The sequence below is a fragment of the Homo sapiens genome, chromosome 6 (genome assembly GCF_000001405.40).
Source record: "Homo sapiens chromosome 6, GRCh38.p14 Primary Assembly".
Classification (NCBI taxonomy): Eukaryota; Metazoa; Chordata; class Mammalia; order Primates; family Hominidae; genus Homo; species Homo sapiens.
The window spans coordinates 26,813,897-26,838,062 of NC_000006.12; the positions used below are offsets into that span (position 1 = coordinate 26,813,897).

The following is a 24,166-nucleotide window of genomic DNA, read 5'->3' on the forward strand; positions in this document are numbered from 1 at the left end:
CAAGACCCATGATAAATCTTTAAATATTTTGATTTTTTTGAACTTTACACTCTGTTACTCTCAATATATGGGTCTCATACTTTGGCCGGTTCCTCTGCAGTGCCTCAAACTCTGTCCCCTGAGCAGAAAGCCGGGGCTGTATTTACCCAAGTGGCTCTGCGCTGCACTTTTCATAATTGTCTCACATTTAGGACAAAGCTGCAGGTAGAAACAGGGAGAAAAGAGCAGTTGTATATGTCCCTTGGTTTCACAGCTCCTCAAAGAAACAGAGAATTAATTACATGGTAGATCTACACTATACTGAATGCCAAGAGGGAGCCATCACCAGCCCTCTATTATTGCTGCTCCTACGTCTTGAACCAAAGCAGCATCCTGTTCTCAGACACTAACTTGGGTTTGGAGACCTGAGTGTTTGGAGACACGATGTCTAAATAATAAAGCTTGGAGAATGTGGGCATCGATCCCACTACCTCTTGCGTGCTAAGCAAGCGCTCTACCACTTGAGCTAATTCCCCACATCAGGGCAGCATTATTTATTGTTAGCAGGTGGCCTGGAACACAGGTGATTTCAGGGCCTTCAGCAGGAAAGCAGGGCTCTAAGAGCAGATCTTCTCATTGATGGGCCAGGGCAAACAGCAGTGGCTACTCATTGTCTGCAAAGAAGGAGGAGAAAAGGGAACAAGGAGAAAGTCACAACGGGAAAACTTCACGCTGCCAAAATGCCAAGTTTAGAGTATTCCGGGACAGAAAAGGGCACGTCCTAGCAAAGGAGGACCTGCCTAGACATGCCCAGGTAAAGCATCACAGATTTTTAAAAAATGATTAAATACTTAAAAATGATTAAATGATTTTGTGTGTGTGTGTGTGTGTGTGTGTGTGTGTGTGTGTGTTTATAAAAGTGGGACCAGAAACAATTGTAACTGTCTTGCTGCTTTTTTTCCTCTTGTGGCCCAGTCATCTAGCTTTTCCCTTCTTCAGAGATCTTAGTCACTCTTCTTTTCCGCAGTCTCCTTTGTTGATAAGAAACAGAGGCGGTGCTCAATTCATGATAGTTCACTGAGTGACCAACTGAATGAAGGAAGGAAGAAATAGCCTTCCAAGGTGTCTCCCATTCATACTACTCTTACTGTGTATCTACACTTGCATCTCTATGACTGGAGACATTCACTCAACAAAAAACATAAACTGAACTTATAATCATATCCTCCCTGTTTTTTCCCCAATTTTTTGTGCCATGAATTATACTAGGAGACTTAGGGAGTTTACTTGATGTAGTCTGACTGAATTTTGCCAAAAAAACTGTCTTAGTCTGCACTTTATGCACTTTTTAGAAGTAATAGAGGCTCAGATAAGTTAAGTGTTCCTAAGGTGCCAAAGCTGCTAAGTGGGAAAGCCTGAACTAAGAAGCAGATATTTTTAGATTTTAAATGTGATTTTTTCCCTCTGTACCAGCTCAGTTATTCTGCCCGTTCTTTTGCACTTTAGCTCACTCATTCATACAACAAATATCTAATTCCAAACCTCTTCCTTACTTACTTTTTGGGCTTAACTTTTTTTTTTTTTTTTTTTTCGACAGAGTGTCACTCTGTCGCCCAGGCTGCAGTGCAATGGTAAGATCTTGGCTCACTGCAACCTCTGCCTCCCGGGTTCTAGTAATTCTCCTGTCTCAGCCTCCAGAGTAGCTGGGACTACAGGTGCCTGCCACCACGCTTGGTTAATTTTTGTATTTTTAGTAGAGACGGGGTTTCACCATGTTGGCCAGGCTGGTCTCAACCTCCTGACGTCACGTGATCAGCCTACCTTGGCCTTCCAAAGTGCTGGGATTACAGGCATGAGCCACCCCTCCTGGCCTGGGTTTAACTATTTTATTTTATGACAGGGTCTCACTTTGTTGTCCAGGTACCGGTGCGTTCTCTGTTCACTGCAACCTCCACCTCCTGAGTTCAAGCGATCCTCCCACCTCAGCCTCCTGAGTAGCTGGAACTACAGATGCATACCACCACACCCGGCTAATTTTTGTATTTGTTGTAGAGACAGGTTTTCACTGTGTTGCCTAGGCTGGTCTCAAACTCCTGGTGTCAAGGGATCCACTGATCTCGGCCTCCCAAAGTGCTGGGATTACAGAAATGAGCCACCACGTCTGGCCCTGGGCTTACCTTTCAAGTCAACTTTGATTCATTGTCTTCCTTGAAACACCACATTCAGTGATTAGTCAAATAATGAACATTATTCTTGCACAACTCTTTTGAATCTATCAATTACTTTCTACTCATTTAGTACATATTCACTGGGGAGATGCTCTGTGCCAGACACTGTAGTAAGATCAGGTAATTCAGAGGAAGTATAGACACCCCAGACCTCAAACGAAGACAAGATAAATATGGACAAGGGAAGATCCACCTCCACATTCACCATTTTCAGTCTTTCTGTCATTTCCAGCTAAATAACGTCTTCAAAAATGTTTCAAAATAACTAAGTCACTATTTCAAACTCTTTCAATAATAGCACCCTTCTATACACTGGACTACTCTTAATTTTCTCATTATAACATGATCTTGCTTTTCTTTTAATTTTTGTCTTTGCTTTCTACCTGAATTTTTATTTTGCATTATGAAATTGATAGGTCCATTACTGGATGGCATGGTTCAATTCTCCAGTATGTCTGTTGATTTGTGTTCCACTAAATCTTCCAATTACTCAGAGAGGAGTGTTAATGACTGCAACTATAACTGGATTTTTCTATTTTTACTTGGCGTATCCAATTTTGTTTATGAGTTTTGAAGCTCTGTGTCCTCATATACATTTGGGACAATATTCTCCTGAAAAATTGACAATCATAATTATTTAGGAGGCCTCATTATTCCTGAAAAGTTTCTCTGCTTTCAAATCTACTTTGTCTGATTTTATATATATACACCACAGCTGTCTTTGATTAATGCTTGCATGAGGTATCTTTTCCCACTCTTTTCTTTCAATCTGCTCTATAACTTTTATTCTTATTTATAAGTGTATTGCAGGTGGCTTTCTTTAGTCAGCATATTTATTTTTAACACATTCTGATGATCTCTAGTTTTTACTTAATGCATTTAGATAATTTACATATAATGTTATTATAGATAAGTTTTTAGATAGATCTACTATTTAATAATTTATTAACCTTTTTTCCCTTTGTTTTAATTCTTCTATGTTCCTCTGTCTATCTTGTTTTGGTTTATTTCAATCTGGTTGTTAAGTGGTCTAGGGATTACCATATACATATATAACTTTTCACAGTATACTAAGAATCAATATTTTACCATTCAAGTTGAATATAGAAACTTCATCAAGAGTTAGTCCCATTACATTTACCCTTTTATCTTATGTATGTAGTACATCTAGATACAATGACAACTGCATCAGATAAAGTTACAATTTTTGCTTTCAACCATCAAACATACCTTAAGGAACTCAAGAGAAGAATAATAGTCTGTTATGTCTACCCAGACATTTTCTATTTCTGCTTTTGTTCCTTCATTGATGATGTTCTAAGTTTCCTTCTGGTATCACTTTTCTTATCTCAAACCTTTGCTAATTCTTTTCCAGCAGTTTTGCTAGGACTGAGAATGTATTTATTTACCTTCCAATGAGAATGCATTTATTTGCCTTTATGTCTGGAAGATACTTTTGCTCCACATACCATTCTGGGTTGATAATGTATTTTTCCTTTGGTATTTACTGAATGTTATGACATTTTTTTCTGGCTCCTGGGTTCCCGATGAGAAATCTACAATCATTCATTTGGTATTTTATCTTTCATTTCCCTTTGGCTGCTTTCAAAATTGTTTTGTGTTTTCTTAATTTTCCGCAGTTTGATTATGATATGTCTTGCAATGGGTTTCTTTTGGTTTATCCTGCTTGACATTTACTGAACTTTAAAAATCTGGTTTATATCTTTTGAGAAATTTGATACATTTTCAGCCATTAATTCTTCACAGTTTTATCCCACAAAGACCTCTTTGTCCTCTTACAATAATGTGAATGTTTCCAGATTACAATAATGTGAATGTTAGATTTGTTATTTTTTATTTGTCCCTGAGCCTCTGTTCAGGGACAATAAAATCCTCCTTTCTTTCTATAGGTCAGATTCTGTAGGTATTCTTGTTCCGTTTTCAAGTTCATTGACTTTTTCCTTAGTCTTCTGCATACTGCTATTGAGATCATCCAATTAAGCTTTTTATTTCCCCTAATAGTTTTGGTTAATACTTTTTTTAATTCTTAAGTTTAAATTGGTGTTTACATATTCCAAATATTTGGTGAGACTTTCCAACTTTCCATTCACTTCATGAATGCTATCCCGTAATTCTAGGAGCATTGTTATAATAACTGCTTTAATGTATGTGTCAGATGATTTTGACATATGTGTCCTCTCAATATTGTTATGCAAGGATTCTCTTTGCCATGTGAATTAAGATCTCCCTGGTTTTTCATAATGCTGAATATTTTGGGGCTTGTAACCTGGACTTCTTTGGATTATGTGATGAGACACTGTGTCTTGTTGAAATCTTAAGGATAATATTGCTCTTTTTGTTTTTGCAGGCACACAATTGCCTTGTATTTAAGCTCCAAGTACCAACCAGACTTCCATGTGTTGTTGTTTCACAGATAACTCTATTTGAAAGCCTTGACACTGCGGATGAGAGATCTCTGGAGTGTGTGCAACCAGTGGTCAGTGAGGACTGGAAAGCGGACCATTGTTTAGTTCAGTCCTCAGGCTCTTTTTAGGTAAGTTGTTTGGGATTAGACCCACTTATTCACAGCTGGCAGGTGCGTCCACAAGCTCATGAACAACTTTATGGGTTTGCTTTCTACAGTATCTGTCCAGGCACATTCTAGTTACTTGACACATCCTGGTTTCAGTCCTCTCACCAGAAAGCCAGGGCTGTATTTACCCAGGTGGCTCTGCCCTGCACTTTTCACAGTTGCCTCACATTCAAGCTACAGGCAGAAACAGGGAGAAAAGAGCAATTGTTTATGTCCCTTGGTTTCACAGCTCCTCAAAGAAGCAGAAAATTAATTACACGGTAGATCTACACTATACTGAATGCCAGGAGGGAGCCGTCACCAGCCCTGTATTGTTGCTGCTCCTACATCTTGAACCAAAGCAGCATCCTGTTCTCTGACTTGGGTTTGGAGACCTGAGTGTTTGGAGACCCAGGGTCTAAATAATAAAGTTTGGAGAATGTGGGCATCGATCCCACTACCTCTTGCATGCTAAGCAAGCGCTCTACCACTTGAGCTAATTCCCCCACATCAGGGGAGCTTTATTGATCCTTAGTGGGTGGCCTGGAACACAGGGGATTTCAGGGCCTTCAGCGGGAAAGCAGGGCTCTACTAAGAGCAGATCTTCTCACTGATGGCCCAGGGCAAGGTGCAGTGGCTACTCATTCTCTGCAAAGAAGGAAGAGGAAAGGGAACAAGGAGAAAGTCAAAAAGGGAAAACTCACACTGCCAAAATGTCAAGTTTAGGGTATTCCGGGACAGAAAAAGGCACATTCCAGGAAAGGAGGCCCTGCCTAGACCTGCCCATCTAAAGTGTCACTGATTTTTAAAAAATGATTAAATAATTAAAAATGATTAAATGATTTTGTGTGTGTGTGTTGTGTGTGTGTGTTTATAAAAGTGAGATAGTATTATCACTTGTTCCTTGTAGCTGAGACTCTCTGGGGATTTTGAGATGGTACAGATTTCTGGAAGGCAAAAAGCTCCTGTTGTTTTCATAACTAGGCCCTTTCAGGAATGAAGCCAGCGTGCTGACCACTACCTTAGGAAACCCCTGGGGAGTGCTTCTTTCACTTGCATCTGAGATATAGGTTGCCTCCTTGCTAAGGTGTGTCATGTACAAGTTACATGTCCAACTATATCTCAGAACAACAACAACAAAATTACAGAGCAGAGCCATAAAGAATAAGAGACAAGATCATATCAGAGTGTAAGAATATGTAAAATATTAGAGTGTAAGAATCAAAATTCAGCTATGCAGAGAAGGAGTGGACATATGGTGGAGAAAACCGGGCTGTTCGTAGGAATTCCTGTGTGAAGAAATAAACCTGTTCAATTTAAGTGCTGTGTGTGTGTGTGTGTGTGTGTGTGTGTGTGTGAAATACACACGGAGGGAAGCAGTGATTGAAAAGCCTGGCCACTTGGAGATATGTTGGTAGAGTTTTATGAAAACTCCCAAGAGTAATTGAAAAAATCCCAGGCAGAATGCTTAAATAATTAAAGCAACATGTTAGAGAAAGGTGTTTAGTTTTGAATGTCAGAGCTTGAACATGAGAAAATAGAAATTGAAGAGAAAGAGAAAGAAGTCATAAAGATATTAAAGGATTGAGATTTACCCGCATTTATCGTGTCAGCTCCCGAGGTGGACAACAGGAGTCTTTCTGCAGCGTCAGTGCCCATCACACTTCCTGCTGCAGAATACATCCTCCATAAACACCATAGCATGGATGATGACAGAGGTGAATGAAAAGAAAGAAAAACATTCTGGTGATGCTGTGCAGGAAGGATCTACAGTATTTGTCAAGACATTGGGTGGAGAGATTTGAGGGAGAGGAGACAAAGACACTGGGAAGTCTTGAGCCTAGTGTGGTAGACACAAAAGAGATTCTGAATTAATAGCTGATGAATGAATCCACTCATTTATTTGTATTTGTTATGTGAATGAATGTTACATGAATGACCTGGCATGGAGAAAACAGATGGTGAGACTATGTGCTAGGGTAAAGCAAGAGCTCAAGTTTTTTTTTTTTTTTTAATTTAGAAAAAAATCTGCTTTTCATATCTGGTTTTCCTATTTAAAGCTATGTGATTTGAGGAAAATGGTTTAACTCCTCTGAGCTTTAGTGTCATCTACAAAATTTGGATAATGATACTGAGGGAAGCTGAAAAGCCGTATCAACCAACTTATACAAAAAATAATAAACATTCACTTCCATTTCTAATGCATGGTGCTGAAAAAGTCCTTGTATGTGGAATATTGTTCACCTTTAAGGAACCTGCTCTCAAGAGCTGATGAGGGACTTTTTTTAGTGCAGTTCTGTTGTCACTGGCTGTTGGGCTCATTTAGTTGGCACCAACAAATCTCTGTGAACATAAAAATAAAATAAAATAAAGATTGTGGAGGAATAGAATACAAACACACAGTAAGGTGAGATTTGCACAACAGAGTAAAGGATGTGTGCCTGATTCTTTTTGCATTCTCTTTGAATCATTTTTAGCCTTTATTCTAAGTCCCCAATTATTGTCATCCTTCTCCCAACAAGATCGTTTCTCTCCACCGCAGATATTCTGGCCAGGCTCTCTGGTTAACCATCTTGATGTCCTGAGCACTCTGTTTGTACTGAGACTCTGATTTATGTTCAAATGATGCTCTTCCATAGCAAGGCTTCCTGCTTTGCCCAAAGAGCATTCAATTTTTCAAGCAATTTAGGGCTCCTTCCTCACCCAGTATCTATGTGAAACCTTAAAGGGAAGCCTATTCTTTCCAGGAAGATAATCCTGTTGTGGTTTTAACCTCAATCTGTAAATTCGCTGGGGTAACTGGGAAAGAAGTCATAAAGATATTAAAGGATTGAGGTTTATCCACATTTACTGTGTCAGCTCCTGAGGTGAACAGCATGAGTCTTGCTGCAGCTTCAGCCCCCATCACACTTCATAGGTGAAGAAAACATCCTCCATAAACACTGTAGCATGGATAACAGAAGGAAAAGATTCTGGAGAGGTTATGCAGGAAGAATCTACAGTATTTGTCAAGACATTGGGTGGAGAGATTTGAGGGAGAGGAGACAAAGGCACTGGCAAGTCTTGAGCACAGTGTAGCAGACACAGAAGCGATTTTGAATTAGTATCTGATGAAAGCAAGAATAAATCCACTCATTTATCTGTATTTGGTAAATGAATGAATGTTACATGAGTGAGCTGGTGTGAAGAAAACAGATGATGAGACTATGTGCTAAGTGAAAGCAAGAGCTCATGATTTTTTCATTTAGAAAGAAATCTGCTTCCCATATCTGGTTTCCCTCTTTAAAGTTATGTGATCTGAGGAAAATGGTTTAACTGCTCTGAGCTTCAGTGTCATCTATAGTACTGTGGTAATAATACTTGGGGAAGCTGAGAAACTATATCGACCAACTTACATAAAAATTAATAAACAGTCAGCATAGTTTCTAGCACATAGTGCTGAAAAAGTCCTTGAACGTGGAGTATTGTTCACCTTTAAGGAAAATGTTCTGAAGGTCTAAGGAGAGAGATCAGTGCAGCTTTGTTGCCATTGGCTGATTTGCTCATTTATTTTGTAGCAACAAGCTTCTGTGATGACAAAAATGAAATAAAGTTTAAAAAGTAAAATAGATGGTGGAGAAACACAATAGGGATGTATAGTAAGGTACGATTTTCTAGGCAAAATGGATTTGTACAAAAGAATGTAGTAGTAAAGGATTTGTGCCTGATTCTTGTTGTATTATTTTTGAATCTCATTTAGCCTGTATTCTAATTTCCCAGTTGTTGTAATCCTACACCCAACAAGATTATTTCTTCGCACCATGAACATTCTGGTCAGATTCTCTGCTTAACCATCTTGACTTCCTGAGCACTCATGTTTTTACTGAGACCCTGATATATGCCCAAATGATGCCCTTCCATAGGAGGGCTTCCTGCTTTGCCCATAGAGCATTCAATTTTTCAAGCAATTTAGGGCTCTTTCCTCAACCAGGGTCTGTATGAAACCTTAAAGAGAAGCCTGTTCTTTCCAGGAAGAGAATTCCAGTGGGTTCTAACCTCAACCTATAAATCCACTAAGCAAGCTCCTACTGAACACCTATGATGCAAGCTCAATCCAAGAGGCCAGCACTCCACAGGGGGAAGGCAACCGAAGCAGTAGCTAATGCTTACTGAGCAGTTCTTATTGATCAGGTCCATCTCTAGGTGCTGTGATCCACCCAAAAATATCCCACAATCCTTATTTCCCATGTAAAGAAAGAAGATTGAAAGAAAGGGAAGCTAAATGATAGCTTCAAAGTGACAACTTCCCTGATTCTTCTACTGAAAACTGAATGTGTCACCTCCACACTGCCGAGTCCTTTACTGCCTAATGAGTCCCTCCCAGTAGATATTATCACATGACTTCTTGTTTATTTTTCTTCTTTGCTTCCTGTCTGTTTCTCCCCACTCCTTGCAACTATGACGTAGTATCACAAAGGTGAGAATATCTGTGTTTTATTCACTGTGAATTACTGTACCCAAAACAGTCTCTTAACAAGGTATGCGCTTGAGAAATATTTGTTGGATGATTAAAAGAATAAAAGAGTTCACCCACCCCACCTGATAATTATGTTTGGATGACCTTCAGAGCAGACAATTGGAAGAGAAATTTCCCCTGCTTCCCTTGTCAGCTAGAGAGGTAGACATATGACATAGCTTGTAGTTTCTTGTGTAATTTATATCTCTTCACCACGCCTTGTATTCAAACCACTAAGAAGCCAAAAGAAGGAAAAAGAGAAAAAGAAAGAAAGAAAGAAAGAAAGAAAGAAAGAAAGAAAGAAGAAAGGAAGAAAGAAAGAAAGAAAGAAAGAAAGAAAGAAAGAAAGAAAGAAAAAAGAAAAGCTCATTTTTAAATTTTAAGCTAATATTTGGACTGTCTTGAAATCATTATCTCATAGCATTTGTGTTACATTATTTATCACACCTATTTCATTTCCCTTAACGGAAAGAGCGGCAAAAGCTGTACCTTGTCTGATGTTCAAACTCAGGACCTTCAGAATACGAGATTGACAGGTGGCCTGCTGCTCTAAGAGAGCAACTGTTCCTAAGAGCTGAGATCCAGATTATTAAATCTCATTTCCCACACACTGCTGCTTTATCAATTCCTAGCTTTTAAAGAACACAATCAATGCTACTTGGAAATCACTGCTTATCAGCCAGTGCTGCACTGGAAGAATTCCCCACTCAGGACAGGTGGAGTCCACCCGTTTCCAGTATTCACATAATGATAGGACCTTCTGGCTTGAGGGACCAGAAACAATTGTACCTGTCTTGCTGCTTTTTTTCTCTTGTGGCCCAGTCATCTAGCTTTTCCCTTCTTCAGAGATCTTAGTCACTCTTCTTTTCCGTAGTCTCCTTTGTTGATAAGAAACAGAGGTAGTGCTCAATTCATGATAGTTCATTGAGTGACCAACTGAATGAATGAAGGAAGAAATAGCCTTCCAAGGTGTCTCCTGTTCATACTACTCTTACGGTGTATCTACACTTGCATCTCTATGACTGGAGACATTCACTCAACAAAAAACCCAAACTGAACTTATAAACATATCCTCCCTGTTTTTTCCCCAGTTTTTGTGCCATGAATTATACTAGGAGACTTAGGGAGTTTACTTGATGTAGTCTGACTGAATTTTGCCAAAAAAACTATGTCTTAGCCTGCACTTTATGCACTTTTTAGAAGTAATAGAAGCTCAGGTAAGTTAAGTGTTCTTTCTAAGGTGTCAAAGCTGCTAAGTGGGAAAGCCCAAATTGAGAAGCAGATACTTTTAGATTTTAAGTGTGATTTTTTTCCTCTGTACCAGCTCAGTTATTCTGCCTGTTCTTTTGCACTTTAGCCCATTCATTCATACACCAAATATCTAATTCCAAACCTCCTCTTTACTTACTTGCTCTGTCACCCACGCTGTACTGCACTGGTGAGATCTTGGCTCACGGCAACCTCTGTCTCCCAGGTTCAAGTAATTCTCCTGTCTCAGCCTCCTGAGTAGCTGGGACTACAGGTGCTTGCAACCACGCCCAGCTAATTTTTGTATTTTTAGTAGAGATGGGGTTTCACCATGTTGGCCAGGCTGGTCTCAAACTCCTGACCTCAGGTGATCCGCCCACCTCAGCCTCCCAAAGTGCTGTGATTACATGTGTGAGCTACCCCTCCCGGCCTGGGTTTAACTATTTTATTTTATTTTATTTTATTTTATTTTATTTTATTTTATTTTATTTTATTTTATTTTATTTTATGACAGGGTCTCACTTTGTTGTCCAGGCACCGGTGCAATCTCTGTTCACTGCAACCTCCGCCTCCCAGATTCAAGCGATCCTCCCACCTCAGCCTCCTGAGTAGCTGGAACTACAGATGCATACCACCACACCTGGCTAATTTTTGTATTTTTTGTAGAGACAGGGTTTCACTGTGTTGTCCAGGCTGGTCTCAAACTCCTGGTGTCACGGGATCTGCCCATCTCGGCCTCTCAAAGTGCTGGGATTACAGAAAAGAGTCTGGACTTGGGCTTACCTTTCAAGTCAACTTTGACTTATTGTCTTCCTTCAAACACTACATTCAAGGATTTGTCAAATAATGAACATTATTCTTGCCCAGTTCTTTTGAATCTATAAATTACTTTCTACTCATTTAATACATATTCACTGGGGAGATGCTCTGTGCCAGACACTGTAGGTAATTCAGAGGAAGTATAGACACCCTAGACCTCAAAAAAAGACAAAATAAATATGGACAAGGGGAGATCCACCTCCAGATTCACCATTTTCAGTCTTTCTGTCATTTCCAGCTAAATAACTCTTTCAAAAAATGTCTCAAAATAACTAAATAACTCTTCCAATAATAGCACTCTTCTATATGCTGGACTACTCTTAATTTCCTGGTTATAACATGATCTTTACTTTTCTTTTAACTTTTGTCTTTGCCTTCTACCTAAATTTTTATTTTGCATTATGAAGTTAATAGGTCCATTACTGGATGGTATGGTTTAATTCTCCAATATGTTTGCTGATTTGTTTTCTACTAAGTCTACCAATTACCGAGAGAGGAGTGTTAGTGTCGGCAACTCTAATTGGATTTTTCTGTTTTTACCTTGCGTATCCAATTTTGTTTATGAGTTTTGAAGCTCTATGTTCTCATATACACTTGGGACAATATTCCCCTGGAAAATTGACAATCATAATTATTTAGCAGGCCTCATTATTCCTGAAAAGTTTCTCTGCTTTCAAATGTACTTTGTCTGATTTTTTTATATATACATCACAGCTGTCTTTGATTAGTGCTTGCATGAGGTATCTTTTCCCACTCTTTTCTTTCAATCTGCTCTATAACTTTTATTCTTATATATAAGTGTATAGCAGGTGGCTTTCTTTAGTCAGCATATTTATTTTTAACACATTCTGATGATCTCTAGTTTTTAATTAATGCGTTTAGATTATTTACATGTAATGTCATTATAGATAAGTTTTTAGATAGGTCTATTATTTAATAATGTATTAACCTTGTTTCCCTTTGTTTTAATTCATCTATGTTCCTCTTTCTATCTTGTTTTGGTTTATTTAAATCTTGTTAGTAGGTGGTCTAGGGTTTACCATATACATATATAACCTTTCACAGTATACTTAGAATCAATATTTTACCATTCAAGTTGAATAAAGAAACTTCATCAAGAGTTAGTCCCATTACACTTACCCTTTTATCTTCTGTATGTAGTACATCTAGATACAATGACAACTGCTTCTGATAAAGTTACAATTTTTGCTTTCAATCATCAAACATACCTTAAGGAACTCAAGGGAAGAATAATAGTCTGTTATGTCTACCCAGACATGTTCTATTTCTGCTTTTGTTCCTTCACTGATGATGTTCTAAGTTTCCTTCTGGTATCATTTTTCTTATCTCAAATCTTTGCTAATTCTTTTCCAGCAGTCTTCCTAAGAATGAGAATGTATTTACTTACCTTCCACTGAGAATGCATTTATTTGCCTTTATGTCTGGAAGATACTTTTGCTCCACATAGCATTCTGGGTCGATATGTCTTTTTCTTTTGTTACTTACCGAATGTTATGACATTTTTTCTGGCCCCTATGGTTCCTGATGCGAAATCTACAATCATTCATTTGGTAGTTTCTCTTTCATTTCCCTTTGGCTGCTTTCAAAATTGTTTTGTATTTTCTTAGTTTTCAGCAGTTTGATTATGATATGCCTTGCTATGGGTTTCTTTGGGTTTATCCTGATTGACATTTACTGAACTTTAAAAATCTGGTTTATATCTTTTGACAAATTTGAACCATTTTCAGCTATTAATTGTTCAAAGTTTTATCCCACAAAGACCACTTTGTCCTCTTCTTTCCAGATTACAATAATGTGAATGTTGGATTTGTTATTTTTTATTTGTGCCTGAGCCTCTGTTCAGAGACAATAAAATCCTCCTTTCTCTCTATAGTTCAGATTATGTAGGTATTCGTGTTCTGTTTTCAAGTTCATTGACTTTTTCCTTAGTCTTCTGCATTCGATTATGGAGATCCTCCAATTAAGCTTTTTATTTCCCCTAAGAGTTTTGGTTAATACATTTTTTTAATTCTTAAGTTTAAATTGGTGTTTATGTATTCGAAATATTTGGTGAGACTTTCCAACTTTCCATTCACTTCACGAATGTTATCCCCGATTCTAGGAGCATTGTTATAATATCTGCTTTAATGTATGTGTCAGATGATTTTGACATCTGTGTCCTCTCAATATTGTTATTCGAGGATTCTCTTTGCCATGTGAATTAAGATCTCCCTGTTTTTTCATAATGCTGAATATTGTGGGGCTTGTAACCTGGACTTCTTTGGATTATGTGATGAGACACTGTGTCTTGTTGAAATCTTAAGGATAATATTGCTATTTTTGTTTTTGCAGGCACACAATTGCCTTGTATTTAAGCTCCAAGTACCAACCAGACTTTCATGTGTTGTCGTTTCAAAGATAACTCTATTTGAAAGCCTTGACACTGCTGTTCAGAGATCTCCAAAGTGTGTGCAACCCAGTGGTCAGTGAGGACTGGAAAGTGGGCCATTGCACAGTTCAGCTCTCAGGCTCTTTTTAGGTAAGTTGTTCGGGATTAGAGCCACTTATTCACAGCTGGCAGGTGCGTCCACAAGCTCATGAACAACTTTATGGTTTTGCTTTCTACAGTATCTGTCCAGGCACATTCTAGTTACTTGACACATCTTGGTTTCAGTCCTCTCACCAGAAAGCTGGGGCTGTATTTAACCAGGTGGCTCTGTCCTCCACTTTTCACAATTGTCTCACATTTAGGACCAAGCTGCAGGCAGAAACAGGGAGAAAAGAGCAGTTTTATATGTCCTTTGGTTTCACAGCTCCTCGAAGAAACAGAAAATTAATTACACAGTAGATCTACACTATACTGAATGCCAGCAGGAAGCTGTCACCAGTCCTGTATTGTTGCTGCTCCTATGTCTTGAACCAAAGACACCGAGAGCAGTGTCTTGCTCTCAGACACTGACTCGGGTTTGGGTACCTAAATAATAAAGCTTGGAGAATGTGGGCATTGATCCCACTACCTCTTGCATGCTAAGCAAGCGCTCTACCACTTGAGCTAATTCCCCATATCAGGGAAGCTTTGTTTATCCTTAGTGGGTGGCCTGGAACACAGGTGATTTCAGGGCCTTCAGCGGGAAAGCAGGGCTCTACTAAGAGCAGATCTTCTCATTGATGGCGCAGGGCAAGGTGCAGTGGCTACTCATTCTCTGCAAAGAAGGAGGAAAAAAGGGAAGAAGGAGAAAGTCACAAAGGGAAAACTCACGCTGCCAAAATGTGAAGTTTAGGGTATTCCAGGACAGAAAAAGACACGTCCCAGCAAAGAAGACCTATCTAGACCTGCCCAGCTAAAGTGTCACTGATTTTTAAAAAATAATTAAATAATTAAAAATGATTAAATGATTGTGTGTGTATTGCATGTGTGTGTGTGTGTGTTTATAAAAGTGGGATGGCATTATCACTTGTTCCTTGTAGCTGAGACTCTCTGGGGGTTGTGAGATGGTCCAGATTTCTGGAAGGCACAAAAGGGATTCTGAATTAATATCTGATGAATGAATCCACTCATTTATTTGTATTTGTTATGTGAATGAATGTTACAGGAATCACCTGGTGTGGAGAAAACAGATGGCAAGACTATGTGCTAGGGTAAAGCAAGAGCTCACGTGTTTTTGTTTTTGGTTTTTTAATTTAGAAAAAAAATCTGCTTTTCATATCTGGTTTTCCTATTTAAAGCTATGTGATTTAAGGAAAATGGTTTAACTCCTCTGAGCTTTAGTGTCATCTACAAAATTTGGATAATGATACTGAGGGAAGCTGAAAAGCCATATCAACCAACTTATACAAAAAATAATAAACATTCACTTCCATTTCTAATGCATGGTGCTGAAAAAGTCCTTGTATGTGGAATATTGTTCACCTTTAAGGAACCTGCTCTCAAGAGCTGATGCGGGACTTTTTTTAGGGCAGTTCTGTTGTCTCTGGCTGTTTTGTTCATTTAATTGGCACCTACAAGTCTCTTTGAACATTAAAATAAAATAAAGATTGTGGAGGAATAGAATACAAACACATAGTAAGGTGAGATTTGCATAACAGAGTATAGTAAACGATTTGTGCCTGATTCTTTTTGCATTCTCTTTGAATCATTTTTAGCCTTTATTCTAAGTCCCCAATTATTGTCATCCTTTTCCCAACAAGATTGTTTCTCTCCGCCACGGACATTCTGGTCAGGGTCTCTGCTTAACCATCTTGACCTCCTGAACACTCTGTTTGTCCTGATAACCTGATTTATGCTCAAATGATGCTCTTCCATAGGACGGCTTCCTGCTTTGCCCAAAGAGCATTCAATTTTTCAAGCTGTTTAGGGCTCCTTCCTCACCCAGGGTCTATTTGAAACCTTAGAGGGAAGGCTATTCTTTCCAGGAAGAGAACCCTGCTGGGTTGTAACCTCAATCTGTAAATCCACTGGGGTAACTGGGGTTAGCTCAGTTACTCCAGAGCTTGCTCTCTGAGAACTGGATGGTGCTGCTACTTCCCATAAAGGCTGAATAAAAAGAGGCATCTGCAGGCAGGAGAAAGCGCTATGGTCATTGCTGGAAGATTCCTTCTGACCATTAGCTATCTCTCTGACCTGGTGTGAGAAGGGTGACAAAAATCGGAGACTTGAAAACAGGCCAAAAAAAAAAAAATGGATTCAAAAGAATTTTAAAAGAATCATGCACAAGTTCTTAATTAGATTCTTTTATCCAAATCCATTTTGTCTGGAAAATAATACCTTACTACGTATCTGTATTCTATTCCTCCATAATCTATTTTATTTTATTTTAATGTTCACAAGAAGCTGGATGCTAGCTACCAAATGAGCAAATCAGCCACGATAACAGAACTGCACTAAAATCTCTCATCAGATATTGATACAGTCAAGACCCTCATGAGTGCCTATGATACAAATTCAGTGTGAGAGGCCAGCTTTCCGCAAGGAGAAGGCAACCAAAGCGGTAGCTAATACTGAGCAGTTCCTATTGCCCAGATCCATTTCTAGGTGCTGAGATCCAGCCAGAGAATCCCACAGTCCTCATTTTTCATATGAAGAAACATGTGAGTGATTCACCACCCCAATCCTCATGTATCATCAGTTTTCAAACAAAGCCAAGTAGCCTCCTGTGCAAAAAGCTCTCCTAACCCCCAGTTGCCTTGATAGGTAAAAGTATTCTTATGACAGTGCTAGAAAAACACGGGCACAAGTGTTCCGGCAAGGTGACTAGAAGGCAAGGCTAAAGTTGTCAAGGTGACAAAGTCCCTGATGGTCCTCTTGAAAGCTGAACGTGCCACCTCATGTGTATATGTGTATGTGTGGATGCATATGTGTATGTTGTGTGTACACACCTACACATATATCTACAAATGCATGTGTGTATGCATGCATGTGTGTACACGTGCATGCACACATGTATCTGTATACATGTATTATGTACACAGTATGCATGTGTACATGTATGTGTCTGTGCATGTGTAGATGTATACATGCATGTACACATGCATCTACATATGCATGTGTATGCCTAAATGTGTGTACAAGTGCGTGCATATGTGCACTATACATGTGTACATGTGTTTGTACACGTGTATCTGCACATGCATACGTACATACATACATGCATGTACATGTGAACACACACGTGTATGTATACATGTATGTACACCTGTGTGCACATGCATCTACATATGTGTATAACTATATGTATGTGTGTGTACCCATGTGTACATGCATCTGCGGGTATGCATTTGTGTACACATATGTCTGCACATGCATGCCTGCAGGCATGGATGCATGTGTGTGTGTGCATGCATGTGTATCCAGGTATGTGTGTACACAGAATGTTTGTATGTTTGTGTGTTTTGTGTGTAGGTATTCGTGTATGCATAAATGTGCACATGCATGTTTGCATGCATTTGTTTACACGTGTACATGTGTGTATGCATGTGTGTATACACGTGTATACACATGTACGTTTGTGTGCACGTGTATGCACATGTATGCACGTGTACATGTATACATTGTGCTCATGTGTGCCTACATGTATGTATATATTGTACATGCATTATGTGTGTATGCACATATGTGCACGTGTGTGCATGTATGTACATGCATGTATGCACACGTTATTTATGTGTGTGCATGCATGTATTTGCATACGTGTGTGCACATGTGTGCACACATGCGTGTAGGCATGTATGTGGATGTGCACACGTATGTATGGACACGTGTATTCTTGCATGCACGTGTACATGTATGTGTGCACACAGGCATGTGTAGGGATGTATGTTGTATACGTGTATGTGTGTATACATGTATGTATGTACACAAAATCTGTTTGTATGTACACCTAGATCTGTATTAGTCAGGGTTCTCTAGAAGGACAGAACTAACAGGATAGATGTGTATATGAAGCAGAGCTCATTAAGAAGTATTGACTCACACAATCGGAAGTTGAAGTCCCACAATAGGCTGTCTGCAAGCTGAAGAGCAGGGAAGCCAGTCCGAGTCCCAAAACCTCAAAAGTAGGGAAGCTGACAGTGCAGCCTTTAGTCTGTGGCCAAAGGCTCAAGAGCCCCTGGCAAACCACTGGTGTCAAGAGTCCAAAAGCCGAAGAACTTGGAGTCCAATGTTTGAGGGCAGGGAGCATCCAGCATGGGAGAAAGATGGAGGCCAGAAGACTCAGCAAGTCTTCCTTTTCCAAACTCTTCTGAGTGTATGTATGTATACATGCATGCATGTATACATGTATGTTTTCAATATTTATACACATGGAATCATTTACGATATTATTAGATCTGGCTTCTTTGATATCAACTTTTCATTATGTTTTTAAATTCCATCTATGTTGTTGGATGACCACTTGCCTGATACTGTTCATTGCAATACAGACTTCCACGTATGAACACATCACAGTTTGTATAACCATATTGCCATTGATAGCTATTACATTATATCTATCCTTCAGTTATTACAAATGATGCCACTCTAAACATTCCTGAATGTGTATCCTGGTACACATAAGCATGCATTTTCTATGCAAAAATGAGTGGAATTGAAACCATCTTTGCAAAAATTATGAGTGAGAAAAATCTAACATAGCTGACTATCTTGCTTCTAACTTCACAAACTGTCCTTGTTCATTCCTGGGCATAGGCCAAGCTAACTATGGAGGAATTCATAGTTTAATTTTAAAACAAAGATGATAATAGCTGCTTCCCAAAAGTAACCCCTCCCTGCTAAGGGACTGAAACTACCTTTGTAAAACCAACAAATTAGGCATAAGGTTAAAATTATGGTTCAGGAATAATGTAGCTGGAAGTCACAAGATTGTAGCCTCCTCAGTTGCTCCTATAGATAACATCACTACTGTAAAGCCTAAGATTGGTGCTTGATGTATTTTTTAGACCCTGTATTTTGATGGACCAGCTGATGTCACCTGGACAGGTAACCCATTAAGAAACAAACAAACAAACAAACAAAAAGCCGCCAGCCTGACCAACATGGGGAAACCCCATCTCTACTAAAAACATAAAAATTAGCCAGGCATGGTGGTGCGCGTCTGTAATCCCAGCTACTCAGGAGGCTGAGGCAGGAGAATCGCTTGAACCCAGGAGGTGGAGGTTGCAGTGAGCCGAGATCACACCATTGCCTGGGTGACAGAGTGAGACTCCGTCTCAAAAAAACAAAAAAACAAAAAGCAAACAACAAAAAAAACTGGCTCAGCTGGTCTCATGAACCCCTGATCCAGGAACTGACTCAGTGCAAGAAGACAGCTTTGACCCTTTATGATTTCATCCCTTACCCAACAAATTAGCATTCCCCAGTCCCTACCCGCTGTCCACCAAACTATCCTTGAAAAACTCTGGCCTCCAAATTCTCAGGGAGGTGGATTTGAGCATTATCTTTCATCCTTCCACTTGGCTGGCCCTGCAATTATTAAACTCTTTCTTTGCTGCAAAACCTGCTGTTCTCACTGCATTGGCTTTTCTGCGTGGCAGACAAGAAGAACCTATCAAGTGATTACAGAATTGCTGGTAAGAAAAGTGTATCTTCAACTAGATACTGCCACACTCTTTTCCAAATTTACTGCATTCACTTGCACTTGCAGTAGCTGTATATTAGTGTTTTTCTTGCTCTACTTAGTTGAAGTCACTGTAATGTTTCTCATTGTGATTACTATGCATGTTCTCGAACCATATCCCTGTTTATTTCATTTTAATCTATTGATTGTATTTAAATGTATACTCTGTACTGTAGCCTCTGAAGTTATCTTAAAAACACATTTTTTTTTTTTTTTTTTTTTTTTTTTTTTTGTGGTGCCACTGTTTACAACCCTTCAAGCACTTCCTAATGTTGTCTTAAAAGTCAAAGCTTCTTAGACTTTCATGTTTGGTCTGATATGGTTTGGCTGTGTCCCCACCCAAATCTCATCTTGAACTGTAGTTCTGACAACCCCCATGTCTCAGGAGGGACCCTGTGGGAGGTAATTTAATCATGGGGGTCAGTTACCCTCATGCTGTTCTCATGATAATGAGTTCTCACTAAATCTGATGGTTTTATAAGGGGCTTTTTCTCCTTTTGCTTGGCACTTCTCCTTGCTGCCACCATGTGAAGAAGGGCATGGTTGCTTCCCCTTCTGCCATGATTCTAACTTTCCTGAGGCCTCCCTAGCCATCCTGAACTGTGAGTCAATTAAACCTCTTTCCTTTATAAGTTACCCAGTCTCAGATATGTCTTTATTAACAGCATGAGAATAGACTTACACAGGTCCAATGCTTAACTCTCAAATTTTATATCCCTCTCCTCCTACATTTGAACTCATACTAAACTATTTTTAACTTCCCCCTAAAAATGAAATTTGTATGTCTCAGTTTAATCACAGTCCTGTGAATTAATGACTCCAATCCTCTCTTCCCTTAACTTTCACAAAGATAACTACTACACATTCTTCAAAAACCTATTTATGACATCCATTGTCTATAAAGCTTTCCCCAGCCTGAAGCCTATGTTAGATTTCCTTACTGTGAGGTCCATGCAACTGTCCATAGTGTTTTCCAGGCTGTATTGCCATGTTTCCATATGGAAATTCCTTCCTGGCATTTCTTGGGAAATTTATAATTTTCCAAATCGTGACAAAAATCAGTCAAGAAAGAAGGAAAATGGGGAAAGTATAATTAAAATTCTGCATAGGCAGAATAATGCCCCCCTCCAAGATATTCATATTTTAATCCTCAGAACCTGTGAATCTATTACTTTGCATGGGAACAATGACTTTGCAAATGTGATTAAAGTTAGGAGTTTGAGCTAGAGAGATTAGCCTGGATTATCCAGGTGAGCCTAATTTAATCACATGAATCCTTAAAAGTAAACAACCTCTCTCTGCTGTTTCAGAGAGCAATTAAATGACAGAGGATTAGAACGAAGTGACATGAGAAGGAACTGATTATTTGAATATGTGTGGCACTTCTCGTTTTGTGCTCTCTCCTGTCACTATGTACCTTGCTTTCTCTTTGCCTTCCGCCATGATTGTAACCTTCCTGAGTCCTCTCCAGCCATGAACTATGAGTCAATTAAAACTTCTTTTTTTTATAAGTTACCCACTCTCAGGTAGTTCTTCATAGCAATGTGAAAATGGACTAATACAGAAAACTGGTACCAGGAAAGTGTGGCACTGCTACAAAGATACCTGAAAATGTGGAAGTGACTTTGGAACTGGGTAACAGGCAGAGGTTGGGAGAGTTTGGAGGGCTCAGAAGAAGACGGGAAGATATGGGAAAGTTTGGAACTTCCTAGAGACTTGTTGAATAGTTTTGATCAATATGTTGATAGTGATATGGACAATAAAGTCCCGGCTGAGGTAGTCTCAGATAGAGATGAGGAACTTATTGTGAACTGTAGTAAAGGTCACTCTTTCTATGCTTTAGCAAAGAGACTGGTGACATTTTGTCCCTCTCCTAGAGATCTGTTAAACTTTGAACTTGAGAGAGATAAGTTAGGGCATCTGGCAGGAGAAATTTGTAAGCAGAAAGGCATTCAAGATTTGACCGAGTGGTTTCTTTTTCTTTTCCTTTTTTTTTTTTTTTTTTTTTTGAGATGGAGTCTCACTGTGTCACCCAGACTGGAGTGCAGTGGTGTGATTTTGGCTCACTGCAACCTCTACCTCCCAGGTTCAAGCGATTCTCCTGCCTCAGCCTCTCAAGTAGCTGGGAAAATTACAGGCATGCACCACCACGCCCTGACCTGGCAGTTTCTAAAAGTGTACAGTCACATGCATTCACAAAGAGATGGTTTGAAATTGGAATTTATGTTTAAAAGGAAAGAAGACATTAAAAGTTTGGAAAATTTGCAACTTGACCATGTGGTTAAAAAAATAAAAACCATTTTCTGGGGAGAAATTCAGGCTGGCTGCATAAATTTGCATAAATCAAGAGGATCCTGATGTTAATCTCCAAGAAAGTGAAGAAAAAGTCTCCAGGGCATTTCAGAGATCTTCACGGCAGCACCTCCCATCACAGTCCTAAAGGCCTAGAAGGGAAAAATTGTTTCTTGGGTTGGGCCCAGGTCCTCGGTCCTCTGTGCAGCCTTGGGACGTGAAGACCCGTGTCCCAGCAGCTCCAGCTCCAGCCATGGCTCAGGCCACTGCTTCAGAGGGTGCAAGCCCCAAGCCTTGGCAGCTTCCACATACTGCTGGGCCTGCAGGTGTGCACAAGAATTGAGGTTTAGGAACCTCCACCTAGATTTCAGATAATATAGGGAAGTGCCTGGATATCCAGGCAGAAGTGTGCTGCAGGAATGGAGCTGTCATGGAAACCTCTATGAGGGCAGTGCACCGGAGAAATGTGGGGCTGGAGCCCTCACACAGAGTTCCTACTGGGGCACTGCCTAGTGGAGCTGTGAGAAGAGGGCCACAGTCCTATAGAACCCAGAAAGATAAATTCACCGATAGCTCGCCCTGGCTGCCTGGAAAAGCTGTCGGCACTCAATGCCAATCCACGAAAGCAATCAAAGGGGCTGTATCTTGCAGACACACAAGAGTAGAATTGCCTAAGGCCTTGAGAGCCCACTTGTTGCATCAGCATTCCCTGGATGTGAGACATGGAGTCAAAGGAGATTATTTCAGAGCTTCGAGACTTAATGACTGTCCTGCTGGGTTTTGGATTTGGATGGGGCCCATAGCCCCTTTGTTTTGACCAATTTCTCCCTTTTGGAACAGGAGTATTTACCCAATGCCTGTAACCCCATTGTAACTAATCTGTTTTTGATTTTACAGGCTCATAGGTGGAATGGACTTGTTTGTCTCAGAAAGACTTTGGACTGGACTTTTGGTTTAATGCTGGAATGAGTTAAGACTTTGGGGAACTCTTGGGAAGGCACGATTGGCTTTGAAAAGTGAAAAGAACATGATATTTTAAAGGGGCCAGGGGCAGAACAATATGGTTTGGCTCTGCATCCCTGCCCAAATCTTATCTCAAATTGTAATTCTAACATGTTGGGGGAGGGGCCTGGTGGGAGGTAATTGAATCATGGGGGCACACTTCCCCTTTTCTGTTCTTGTGATAGTGAGTGAGTTCTCATAAGATCTGGTGGCACTTCCCCCTTCACACTCTTTCTCTCCTGCCACCATGTAAGATGTGTCTTGCTTCCCCTTTGTCTTTTGCCATGATTGTACATTTCCTGAGGCCTCTCCAGCCTCAGGAACTGTGTGTCAATTAAACCTCTTTTCTTTACAAATTACCCAGTCTCAGGTAGTTCTTTACAGCAGTGTGTAAAAGGACTAATACAAAGACATTATGCTAAGTGAAATAAGCCAGGCACAGAAAGACAAATACCATATGTTCTCACTTTTATGTGGACTTTATAATAGTTGAATTCTAGAAGTAGAGAACAGAATAGTTACCAGAGATTTAGGAGTGAGAGGAATGAAGAGATATTGTTGAAAGAGTGCAAAGTTTCTGTGAGACAGGAGAAATAAATGGTAATTATTAGAGGCGATGGGTATGAACTTGATTTAGTCATATCAAATTGGATGCATACATTAAAGCATAACTCTATACGCCATAAATGTAAGTGATTATAATCTGTCAATATTCAATATTATATACACATATATGTAATTATATAAAGATACCTATAATATATAGAAAATGCATCTACTGAGACTGAATGAACCTTTATTTAAACTGGAAGCTGTAAAATTGATCAATATAAATATATATAATGTTATATAAAGGTTATAGTGGGCCTATTGGGTCTTCTAATAACAACCTCTATATTTCTCCCCACTAAATAATGAGTATTAATCAGAGTGCCTAATGGAATAATTTTAGTCCAATCAATTATTTTCTTCAGCATCTAATTTTCTCATATTCCATAATGTCTTGTTTTCATGCATAACATTTTTTTCCTTCATGACCATTATGCTAAATTTTAGTTATTTTATGTGCACTTGTTCCAAGCACATTTTCTTAAATATCTGTTCCTTATCTATTGATTTCTATGGAAATTTTTATTTTCCTCCAAAATGGCATCTGGGAGTTCATATGATTGGACTATTTTTATCCTTATTGCTGTTTGTCTTCATTTGTCTTTTTCTCTGATCACTATTATACACACACACACACACACACACACACACATACATACATATATAAATATATATGTGCATATATATTTCCCAGTATTTAATACATTTAATATCCCTTAGTGGATAGGGATGACAACTTACAAATTTAAATACTTTTTTTTATAAAAGAGTCATTTTTTTCTATTGAATTTAAGCTAAAACGTGATCCCTC

At 39.2% G+C, this 24,166-nt stretch overlaps 1 long non-coding RNA gene and 3 other non-coding genes across 5 annotated transcripts in view, besides 4 other annotated features; all 4 read right to left on the reverse strand.

Annotated features, from left to right (window-relative positions):
- Positions 1 to 501: an enhancer, noted in NCBI's record as "H3K27ac-H3K4me1 hESC enhancer chr6:26687499-26687999 (GRCh37/hg19 assembly coordinates), duplicate 2 on the GRCh38 assembly". NCBI's record gives its function as "activates a minimal SCP1, AML or CMV promoter by ChIP-STARR-seq in naive H9 embryonic stem cells {active_cell/tissue: H9 hESC(naive)}" and the evidence as "EXISTENCE:reporter gene assay evidence [ECO:0000049][PMID:30033119]".
- Positions 1 to 1,324: a biological region, named in NCBI's record as "MED14-independent group 3 enhancer GRCh37_chr6:26686676-26687875 duplicate 2".
- Positions 125 to 1,324: an enhancer, noted in NCBI's record as "MED14-independent group 3 enhancer chr6:26686676-26687875 (GRCh37/hg19 assembly coordinates), duplicate 2 on the GRCh38 assembly". NCBI's record gives its function as "activates an origin of replication core promoter dependent on BRD2, BRD4, P300/CBP and CDK7 cofactors, and independent of MED14, by STARR-seq in HCT116 cells {active_cell/tissue: HCT116}" and the evidence as "EXISTENCE:reporter gene assay evidence [ECO:0000049][PMID:35650434]".
- TRNAA-AGC (transfer RNA alanine (anticodon AGC)) lies at positions 443 to 515 on the reverse strand. The gene has a single exon. It is a non-coding gene; the product is annotated as a tRNA-Ala (tRNA).
- Positions 502 to 1,002: an enhancer, noted in NCBI's record as "H3K27ac-H3K4me1 hESC enhancer chr6:26686998-26687498 (GRCh37/hg19 assembly coordinates), duplicate 2 on the GRCh38 assembly". NCBI's record gives its function as "activates a minimal SCP1, AML or CMV promoter by ChIP-STARR-seq in naive and primed H9 embryonic stem cells {active_cell/tissue: H9 hESC(naive and primed)}" and the evidence as "EXISTENCE:reporter gene assay evidence [ECO:0000049][PMID:30033119]".
- Positions 1,231 to 24,166, reverse strand: part of LOC124901290 (uncharacterized) — a 27,799-nt gene continuing 4,863 nt past the window's right edge. Inside the window, exons 2-4 of one of the 2 annotated variants that reach the window (XR_007059532.1) lie at positions 12,571 to 14,099; positions 10,064 to 10,152; positions 1,231 to 7,122 (exon numbers count right to left, since the gene is read on the reverse strand). This is a non-coding gene — a long non-coding RNA (uncharacterized LOC124901290). Of the gene's footprint in view, positions 7,123 to 10,063; positions 10,755 to 12,570; positions 14,100 to 24,166 lie in introns of those variants that run through there. The other variant, XR_007059533.1, reaches the window with a different exon arrangement.
- On the reverse strand, positions 5,213 to 5,285 carry TRNAA-AGC (transfer RNA alanine (anticodon AGC)). Its single transcript has one exon. It is a non-coding gene; the product is annotated as a tRNA-Ala (tRNA).
- Positions 14,331 to 14,403, reverse strand: TRA-AGC14-2 (tRNA-Ala (anticodon AGC) 14-2). The gene has a single exon. It is a non-coding gene; the product is annotated as a tRNA-Ala (tRNA).